The sequence below is a fragment of the Homo sapiens genome, chromosome 5, assembly GCF_000001405.40.
Source record: "Homo sapiens chromosome 5, GRCh38.p14 Primary Assembly".
NCBI lineage: Eukaryota > Metazoa > Chordata > Mammalia > Primates > Hominidae > Homo > Homo sapiens.
In genome coordinates this window covers 142703549-142715053 of record NC_000005.10, presented here as the reverse complement: position 1 = coordinate 142715053, position 11505 = coordinate 142703549, and the positions used below count along the sequence as shown (strand labels likewise).

Below are 11505 nucleotides of genomic sequence, written 5' to 3'. Positions count from 1 at the left end.
TTTGACTTGAACAGGGGGCTGACTTCCCATCAGAAGCTTGAACCAAGATGTCACATCAGAAACCCTCAGAATCCAGTGCCAGGAGAGCACCGGGTTCAAGAGTGAATGGGAGTGGGGATATGGAAGTGGCAAGTGAAAATGATTCCTTCAAGAAGACAGGCTACAGGCCACAGCAGGAGAGAGACAGGAAGGATGGGAACTGAAGGGAGGCAGGGCTTAAGGGAGGGTTGTGCTTTCTCTGTGTTAATTTGTTTTGTTAACTTCTTGAGCATATTGCAATGCTGATGGGGGAAAAACTAAGAGCTGAAGGCACAGGAAAGCATAGAGGGGCGGATAGAAGCTGAATCAGCAAGGACCCCCAAAGAATCCGCTCATGAAGATATTTGAAGCTCATGTCAGGAGAAATGTTCGCCGGGTCTGACACCAAAGCCTGCTCGTGTCTGCATCACTCTCTGGCTTCCCACTGTCACTGCCTAACAATCTACGGCTATCAAAGATTCCGAGAGCCAAGTGGCTTGGAAGTTGTTTGAGTCAGAAACATTTTCCCTCCACTGGGCACAACTTCTTATCCTTTTCAGTGAGGAAATACAAAATGCATGATATCAGAACATATATCCTAGGGCAGCCCCCTATGTAGGTGATATGGTTTGGTGCAAGGGACATTAAATCTGTTTCTTCCTAAAATAGTTCCCATCAGCTTTCTTCGGACCTTGAACTATTCCATTGGGATTACCTTCCTAAAGAGTCCTGTTAAAATACCAACAGGTCAAAACAATCTCGAAAAGGACACCCATGCTCATTGCAACATTATTCACAATGGCCAAAAAGGTGAAAGCAATCCTGGTGGCCATTGACAGATGAATGGACAAATAAAATGTGGTATATACATACAGTGGAATATTATTCACCCCTAAAAGGAAGGCAATTCTGACACACACTACAACATGGGTAAACCTTGAGGACACTATGCTAAGTGAACCAAGCCAGCCACAGAAGGACAAATACAATATGATCCCATTTATAAGAGGTACATAGAGTAGTCAAATTCAGAGGCAGAAAGCAGAATGGTGGCTTCCAGGTCTGGGGGAAGAGGAATGGGGAGTTTTTGTCTAATGAGTGTGGAGTTTAAGCCTGGGAGGATGAAAAGAGCCCCGGAAATGGATGGTGGGGATGGTTGCACAAGAATGTGAATGCACTTAACACCACTAAACTAACTGTACATTTAAAATGGAAAATTTTATGTTATGTGTATTTTTCTGCAATTAAACAAAACACCGGGTGATTTAAAGGGGCTGCCTGATCAATAGCCAAACTATTATTAGTTTGACTCAGCTTTGATTTCCTGTTAAGGCCACTTTGCCCAGAGCAGGACTTTAAGGAGCCAGAGCAGCGAGGAGCCGGAGATGGAGAGGTGACAGGCGTGAGGACAGTAATTCACTGGGCGCTGGAATGCGTTTTGACAAAGGCCAGGTGTCGGTTCCCGTCCTGACCTGCAGGGGGCACTCTGGTGGGTCCTGGGAAACAGGAGGAGAACGGGAAGCCTAGAAAGCCCTGGGAGCTCCTTGAGCGACAGGGAAGCCTCTGTCTACCACTTTTACTGAGGCCGCCGGCAGTCAGGATACTACACAGTGGTTATTCTTAGGCCCCTAGAGTCAGCAAAGCCTCTTGTTTGGAAAACCTCCTGGGTCTCCCCTCGCAGGCTGTGTAAGGGGCGCCCCGCTCGCCCCGCGTCTCCGTGTCCGGGGTGGGTGTGAGGACGGCAGGGCCGCGCCCCCTGCTGGCCGCTCGCTCAGCTGCGCTGTCGCCTCCTCTGCCATCAGCCCGTGGGAAAGAAAGCCATTTTGGTCACAGGAAGCAACGTTTTCAACTTCTCTCATTAATGAGAAAGACAGAATTGTGATACTCTAATGGGAATACTCGAGGAAGGAATAAATTAAATTTCCATGCAGCTCCGGCTCGAGTCCCAAGCTGAACAGATGCTGTTTTTATCAAATACTTTCTATTCTGTGACGTGCTCTGCCAACTTTCTATTATTAGACAAATCAGGAAAAGTCTGATTTCTCTCCCTTCTGGCTTCTCCTTCCCGCTTTTGTGGGAGGGTGGTGGTTTGGGTGGAGACTCTGTCCTGTCCATAGAAGGTAAATGACAAGGAAATGGCAGCCACCTGAAAACTTGCCTTGATGCCAGCATGTCCCAGAAATGTCCTTTAAAATGACATCTCATCCAGGCGTCACCCCATCCCAGATGGCATAGCTGATGGGACAGGAAAAAATACATATTTTAGAGTATTTACAGCATCATTTTCCCCTGCCCCCACTTCCTTCCTGTGAAGGAGGAATTAGTCTTCACTAGCCAAGTTCTGGAGTATTTCTTTTTCTTTTTTCTTTTTTTTTCTTTTAATTGAGATAGTGTCTTGTTGTGTTGCCTAGGCTGGAGTGCAGTGGCACCAACATCACTAACTACAGCCTTGAACTCTTGGGCTCAAGCGATCCTCCTGCCTCAGCCTTCCAAAGTTCTGGGATTACAGGCGTGAGCCATTGCACCTGGCCCTGGAGTATTTCTTGTGCATAATAAGGGAAAATTTGGGAAAGGATTCTGAATTGTGCAGTACCATGGGTAGGATGGGTTGATGGGTCTACCTAAGAGAAGGCAGGGAGTTACATACTAACGAAAGCAGAATGGATCAGAAGGCGAGAGAAAGAATAAGAGAAACAAGCCAGGGATGAGCTGGGTTTGGGAGAATTCAAGAGATAAATTAAGGAGGACTGAAGTAGCTGCTGGGCTGTTGATATGGTTTGGCTGTGTCCCCACCCAAATCTCATCTTGAATTGTAGTTCCTATAATCCCCACGTGTTGTGGGAGGGACCCAGTGGTAGGCAATTGAATCATGGGGGCGGTTACTCTTTTCTATGAGGGAGATGCACAAAGGGAAAAGAAAAGACACACATGCAATACCTTCAAGGGTAAACAACCTTTATCCCATGTAAATGGCAATGCAGATATAATAAGCAAATGATACAAGCAAATTGCAATGGGAAGGGGAAAAGGGAGAAGATATATATATATAGCCTGGACTACTGGGAGGCTAGAAGTTAATGGCAAGGGCATGCCAACTTTCACCCCACTTCTCCCATCAATATAGACTATATATATATACACACACACTCACCAGACGATGGAGGATTCATCACCAGACCAGAAGCAACAGCCTGGGCTCCAGAGTCGGCCACTACACTTACCAGACTATAGAGGATTCATCACCAGACAGGGAAGCAACAGCCTGGGCTCCAGAGTTGACCGCTCATCCATGCACAGATGAGGAGAGGTCTCATGAAGCTTTGGCGTGGTATGGGACCCTAGTTCTTTTTGTAACGACTTATTTGGCATGAGGCCCAGTCACGAGGGCCCTTCATGACTGGACTCAAGGAACACAAAAAGGTCAACTTGTTTTTATGATTGTTTGTTGTTTTTCAATAACTAACATACAGGAACAGATTTCTCCAAAACCGTCTGGATGAACGCCTCAAGGGGCTCATGCAACCTGTTCTGGGACTTGGTGACCATTGTTTGTGTCCACATTCAATTGAGTTCAAATTTAAGATTTAACTTTTCCTCCACATATCCCCATGCTCTTCTTGAGTTCTCATGAGACCTGATGGGTTTATGAAAGGCTTTTCCCCTTTGCTTGGCACTTCTCCTTCCTGCCGCTATGTGAAGAAGGATGTGGTTGCTTCCCCTTCCGCCTGAGGCCTTCCCACCCCTGTGGAACTGTGAGTCAATTAAAACCTCTTTCTTTTATAAATTACCCAGTCTCAGGCAGTCCTTCATAGCAGTGTGAGAACGGACTAACACAGATGTCATGAGGAGGACTTGAGAAAGAGACAAGAGAAGAGGATTCTTCAGAAATGTTGGTGTTATGAATGGAACCCAAACCCCACCCTTTGGCATCTTTAAGAGATTTCAGTAAAGACATAAATTGATTTAAAAACTGTGTTTTGGTCAAGCATAGCGGCTCACTTCTATAATCCTAGTACTTTCAGAGGCCAAGGTGGAAAGATTGCTTGAGGCCAGGAGTTTAAGACCAGCCTGGGCAACATAGCAAGACTCTGTCTCTCAAAAACAAATTAAAATTAGCCTTATGTGGTGGCATACACCTGTAGTCCCAGCTACTCAGGAGGCTGAGGTGAGAGGATCACTTGAGCACAGCAGTTCGTGGCCTCAGTGAACTATGATTGTGCCACTGCACTCCATCCTGAGTAATGCAGCAAGACACCCAACTCATAAATAAATAAATAAGATAAAAACTCTGTTTTGTATGATGGTCTGGTGTTTATTCAAGGCAGCCTGGACTACTGGGAGGCTAGAAGTTAATGGCAAGGGAATGCCAAGTTTCACCCCACTTCTCTCATCAATATAGACTATAGTCCAGATATTTTAAATTAGTATCCTATAGGGTAGCTGGGTGTGGACCCCAGATGCATTTTATTTGGCTAGTTGAGATTTAAGTTTTTTTTGAACCAACAATTGAAAATTGGGATTTCACATTTTAAAAGCCTGCATTTCCTTTCCTACTTCTTTTGAAAAAAATGGAAAAATTTGGCAATATGAGGCCCTTATTACCACAAGGCAAAAATAGGCTCATGCTTTCTAGTTAACCTCAGTGCCCACCCCTCACATAAGGCATATGTATGCATGTATACCTGGCCCACTGCCTGCATTTGCAGGTGGACCTTGGAGATATTGTGGGTTTGGTTCCAGACTGCCGCAGTAAGGCAAGTATTGCAACAAAGTGAATCATACAAATTTTTGGTTCCCAGTGCCTATAAAAGTTATGTTGACAGTATGCTGTAGTCTAGTAAGTGTGCAAGAGCATTATGTCTAAAAATGTACATACCTCAATTAAAAATACTTTGCTGCTAAAAAAATAGTAATGATCGTCTGAGCCTTCAGTGAGTTATAATCTTTTTCCTGGTGGAAGGTCTTGCCTCGATATTGATGGTTACTGACTGATCAGACTGGTGGTTGCTGAAGTTTGAGGTAGCTGTGGCAAGTTATTAAAATATGACAGTAATGAAGCTTGCCATGTCAATGGACTCTTCCTTTCACAAAATATTTCTCTGTACCATATTTGGTAGCATTTAATAACAGTAGAACTTCTTTCAAAAGTGGAGTCAGTCCTCTCAAATGCTGCTGCTTCTGTATTAACTAAGTTTACGGAATATTCTAAATCCTTTATTGTCATTTCAACAATGTTCACAGCATCTCTACTAGGAGTAGAGTCCATCTCAAGAAATCACTTTCTTTGCTCATCCATAAGAAGCAGCTCCTCTTTCGTTCAAGTTTTATCATGAAATTTGTATTAGGGTTCTCTAGAGAGGCAGAACTTATAGGATAGATGTATAAATGAACGGGAGTTTATTAAGGAGTACTGACTCACATGATCACAAGGCGAAGTGCCACAATAGGCCATCTGCAACCTGAGGAGCAAGGAAACCAGTCCAAGTCCCAAAACCTCAAAACTAGGGAAGCTCACACAGACACACCCAGGAACAATACTTTGCATCCTTCAATCCAATCAAGTGAACACTCAGTATTAACCGTTACAAGATTGAAGCAATTCAGGCACATTTTCAGGCTCCACTTCTAATTCTAGTTTTCTGTTTCCAGCACCTCCGCAGTGACTTCCTCTAGTGAAGTCTTGAACTCCTCTAAGTCATCCGTGAGGGTTAGAATCAACTTCTTCCAAACTCCTGCTAATGTTGATATTCTGACCTCCTCCCATGAATCGTGAATGTACTTAAGGGCATCTAAAATGGTAAATTCTTTGCAGAGGGTTTTCAATTGATTTTGCCCAGATCCATCAGAGAAATCACTATCTATGACAACTATAGCCTTAAAAAATGCATTTCTTAAGTAATAGGACTTGAAAGTTGAAATGACTTCTTGATCCATGGACTGCAGAATGGATGTTGTGTTAAAAGCATGAAAATATTACTCTCCTTGTACATCTCTGTCAGAGCTTTTGAGTTACTAGATGCATTTGCCAACAAGAAGTAATATTTTGAAAGGAATCCCTTTTTTTCCCTGGAGGAGTAAGTCTCAACGGTAGGCTTAAAATATTCAGTAAACATGCCATAAACAGATGTGCTGTCATTCAGGCTTTGTTATTTCATTTATAGAGCACAGGCAGAATAGATTTAGCACAATTCTTTGTTTTGAGACAGGGTTTCACTCCTGTCACCCAGGCTGGAGTGCAATGGCGTGATCTTGACTCACGGCAACCTCAGCCTCCAGGCTCAAGAAATTCTCCTGCCTCACCCTCCTGAGTAGCTGGGACTGCAGGCACACTTCACCACACCTGGCTAGTTTTTGTATTTTTTTGTAGAGATGGGGTTTCACCCTGTTGCCCAGGCCAGTCTCGAACTCCTGAGCTCAAGTGATCTGCCTGCCTCGACCTCCCAAAGTGCTAGAATTACAGGCATGAGCCACTGTGTCTGGCCTGGGTTTAGCATAATTTGTAAGGGTCCAAAGATTTTCTGTATGGAAAATGAGCAATTGGCTTCAGCTTAAAGCCACCAGTTGCATTAGCCCCTAATAAGACAGTCAGCCTGTCCCTTGAAGCGTTGAAGCCAGGCATTGCTTTCTCCTCTTTAGCTATGAAAGTCTTAGATGGCATCTTATTCTGATAGATGTTTTGTCTACATTGAAATTCTATTGTTTAGTGTAGCCACCACCATCCATAATCTTAGCTAGATTTTCTGGATAACTTGCTGCAGCTTCTACATGAGCGCTTGCTGCTTCACCTTGCACTTTATGTTGTGGAAATGGTTTATGTCCTTAAATTTCATGAACCAACCTCTGCTAGCTTCTAATTTTTCTTCTGTAGCTTCCTTACCTCTCTCAGCCTTCATTGAATTGAAGCGAGTTAGGGCCTTGCTCTGGATTAGGCTTTAACTTAAAGGAATGTTGTTGCTGGTTTGATCTTCTATCCAGACCACTCAAACTTTCTCCATATCAGCAATAAGGCTGTTTTACTCTCTTATCATTTGTGTGTTCACTGGAGTAGTGCTTTTAATTTCCTTCAAGAACTTTTCCTTTCCATTCACAACTTGGCTACCTGTTTGGCACAAAAGCCCTCTATTTTGGCCTCTCTTGGCTTTTCCTCATGCATTCCTCACTGAGCTTAATCATTTTTAGCTTTCGATTTAAAGTGTGGGATGTGCCACCCTTGCTTTCACTTGAACACTTAGAGGACATTGTAGGGTTATTGATTAGTCTAATTTCAATATTGTTGTGTCTCAGGGAATAAGGAGGACTGAAAAGAATGTAAAAGATGGGAAATGGCTGATTGGTGGAGAAGTCAGAACACACAACATTTATCAATGAACTTCACCATCTTATATGAGCACAGTTTATGGCACCCCAAAATGATTACAAGAGTAATCTCAAAGATCACTGATCATAGATTACCATAACAAATATAATAATAATGAAAAAGTCTGAGATATTATGAGAATTATCAAAATATGACCCAGAAACAAAAAGTGAGCACATGCTGTTGGAAAAATGGCACCTAAAGGCTTCTTCAATGCAGGGTTACCACGAACCTCCAATTTGTAAAAAATATAATATCTGCAGTGTAGTAAAGCAAACTATGACAAAATGAAGCATACCTGTCTATTTCCTACCATCTGGTAATAGCAGACTAAATTCAGACCTACTGTCCTGCTGAGAACAATTAGAAAAGTGGGAAAAAATTAAAATAAAATGTGCTTGAAAACATCAGACTTAAAAAGATAATGAAGAATCACCAATGAAGAGCTGGAGAAAGATGGGTATTCAAGGAGGCAAGCCCAATAACTGGGCCTCTTTTCCCCTTGGGACATTTGCTGCTTCTGGAAACGACAACAAAGAACTGGAGAGATGGCCGGGTGTGGTGGCTCACACCTGTAATCCCAGCACATTGGGAGGCCAAGGCAGGTGGATCATTTGAGGTTAGGGTTTGAGACCAGCCTGACCAACATGGTGAAACCCCATCTCTATTAAAATACAAAAGAAAAATTAGCTGGGTGTGGTGGCGGGTGCCTATAATCTCAGCTACTCGGGAGGCTGAGGCAGGAGAATCACCCAGGCTCCCAGGAGGCGGAGGAGCTTGAACCTATGAGGCAGACGTTGCAGTGAGCCGAGATCATGCCACTGCACTCCAGCACGGGCGACACAGTGCAGAGTGAGACTCCCTCTCAAAAAAAAAAAAAGAACTGAAGAGACTAAGCAGCACCTGGGCAGCTTTGTGTGGCCACATAAACACAAGTTGGAATCCGGTGCTCACCAAAGGAGAGGGTAGACATATAACTCCCCATAGCAGGCTAGGACCCTGAAAGTCTTCATCTTAAGACTGAATGAAAAAATTAGCGCAGCATGGTAGCATGGTGGCATGTGCTTGTAGCCCCAGCTACTTGGGAAGATCCCTTCAGCCCAAGAGTGCAAGGCTGCAGTGACCTATGTTTGTGCCACTGGACCTATGTTGTCCAGCCTGGGCAGCACAGTGAGACCCCACCTCCAAAAAAATTTAAAAAAGAGAAAAGACAGGATGACTTGGATGGAAGTAGATGAGATTTTGTGGGGCCTCAGCTGAGATCCAATTAGCTTAATTCTTCAAATTGGATAAAGGTGATCCCAGGTCCTCACATCCCCAGGTATCTTGCAAAAGCAAATATAAATACAGTTGACCCTTGAACAACATGGGTTTGAACTGTATGGCTCATTTATACATGGATTTTTTTTTTTTTTTTGGACAGAATTTCGCTCTTGTCATCCAGGCTGGAGTGCAATGGCGCGATCTCGGCTTACTACAACCTCCGCCTCCCAGGTTCAAGCAATTCTCCTGCCTCAGCCTCCTGAGTAGCTGGGATTACAGGTGCCTGCCACCATGCCAGCTAATTTTTTTAGTTTTAGTAGAGACAGGGTTTCACCATGTTGGCCAGGCTGGTCTCAAACTCCTGACCTCAGGTGACCCACCTGCCTCAGCCTCCTAAAGTGCTGCTGGGATTACAGGCGTGAGCCACTGCGCCCAGCCTATACATGGATTTTTAAAATAAATATAGTCAGCCCACTCTTCTCTAGCTATGAAAGTCCTAGATGGCATCTTATTCCAATAGAAGGCTGTTTGTCTACCCTGGAACTCTGTTGTTTAGTGTAACCACCGCCATCCATGATCTCAGCTAGATCTTCTGAATAATTTGCTGCAGCTTCTACATCAGCACTTGCTGCTTTATCTTACACTTTTATGTTACGGAATGGTTTATTTCCTTAAACTTCATAAACCAACCCCTGCTAGCTTGCAGTTTTTCTTCTACAGCTTCCTCAGCTCTCTTAGCCTTCATAGAATTGAAGAGTTAGGGCCTTGCTCTGGATTAGGCTTTGGTGAATTCTGCATCTGCAACCAAACATAAATATAAAAGACAGTAGTTGCAGGATGCCAAACTCACTTATATATGGAGGGTCGACGTTTTATATCCATGGATTCCACAGGGTTGATTGTGGAAATGAAATCTGCATGGATTTTGGTATCTGCAGTAGGTCCTGGAACCAATCCTGCTGTGGATACTGAGGGATGACTGTACTCTCAGGAGGAATATAACACAATAAGTTTTACTTTACTTCAACCAACAATTTTTCATATACAATTTTAGCACACAAGAGAATAACCAGGCCCATAAAGAAATAAGAAAACATGAGATCCAGTAGAAACAACTACAATAGAAACAATACCACAGAACTCCAGTTAATGGATTTATCAGATACGGACTTTAAATTAATTATGTTTACTACACATACGGAGATAAAAGACAGTATCAACAAATTTGGCAGAGAACTGAAAACTTTAAAAAAGGATGAAAAAGTTGTAAAAAATAACCAGTGAACAATTTAGAATTTAAAATATATACTAACAAAAGCAAAGAGCTCAGTGGATACTCTTTACTTGGTTTAACAAAAAATTATACACAGCTGTAGGGAAAATTGATGAACTGGAAAGTAGGTTAGAAGACAACATCATGACGAAACATGGAGAGACAAAAGGATAGCAATGCTACAGAGAGTAAGAGATATGGAGATAAAATGAGAATTAAAATTTCAGAAGGAGAAGAGAAAGAGAATGGTGCAGCATCAATATTTGAAGAGAAAATAGTTGAAAAATTCCCAAAATTGATTAAAGACAACAAGCCACAAATCTCAGAAGCCCTGGGAGCTGCAAGCAGGAGAAATTTTTAAAAGCCACACCTAGGTACATCACAATAAGACAGATGAAAACCAAAGACAAAGGGAAAAAAAAATTACAAGCAGCTGTCATTACTTGAAAAAATGTAATAGACTGTTAGCTTACCTCTTGATAGAAACAATGGAAACTAGAAATTAGTGGAATTTAAATGTCTTTCAAGTGCTGAAATAAAATAACTGTCAACATTAGAATTCTATGTCCAGTGAAAATAGCCTTCAATAATAAAAGTGAAATTAAGACATTTTCAGGATTCTTTACCAGCATCAAATACTAAAGGATGTTCTTTAAGCAGAAGGAAGATGATTAAGGATGATAGGTTATATAGATGCAGAAAGAAATGAGGTCCAGCACGAAGGTCCATTTGAGGAAGTCTAAATGAATTATACCGTATGAAACAATGTAACACAGTGCTGAAGATTTAAAAAATTAAAAATATTAAAAGTGCATACAAATCAGGAGAGGAAGTAAATGAATTGAAACGTTCTAAGGTCCTTGTACTATTATGGAAGAAAATGAAAGTGCCAATTAACATTATTAGCCTTTGCTAACTCAGAGACCCATACTGTGATCTATAGGATAAACTCTAAAAGACTACTAAAAAGATATGTAACTTCCAAAACAATGGAGGCAAAAACAATATTTTCCAAAAGCAGGCAAAAAGTGAGGATAAAGAGAACAGAGAGCATGTGAGACAATTGAAAACACTTAAGAAGACGGTATATTTAAATTCAAATATATCAGTAATTACATTAAATGTAAATAAATTAAATAGTTCAATTAAAAATCAAAGATTGAATTGGATAACAATCTGCATACTGTTTATAAGAAACATACCTAAAACATTTGTATTATAATGTTGAAATTAAAAAGTGGAAAAATATAAATATTAACAAAAATTAATGTTATCTATATTAATATTAGACAAAGTAGACTTTAAGGCAAAAAGCATTATCATAATGATAAAAAGTTTAACTCATGAGAAAGTACAATGATTATAAAACTTGTACACATAATATAGCTTCAAAAATATAAAACTAAGATTGACAAAACTGCAAGAAGTGAACAGATACATGAGTAAGGATATAGATTATTTAAACACGATTAGCAAACTTGACTTAGTGGACATGTATAGACTGTTACATCCAACAATTATAGAACTCATGTTCTCCAAATATGACTCTCCACCTTCCAAGCAAATGATAGGATTGAAATTCTGCACCTCATTT

General features: G+C 41.6%; 1 annotated feature.

The window, feature by feature from the left end:
- Positions 1653 to 1852: a silencer, noted in NCBI's record as "silent region_16474". NCBI's record gives its function as "represses an Ori minimal core promoter by ATAC-STARR-seq in GM12878 lymphoblastoid cells {active_cell/tissue: GM12878}" and the evidence as "EXISTENCE:reporter gene assay evidence [ECO:0000049][PMID:35858748]".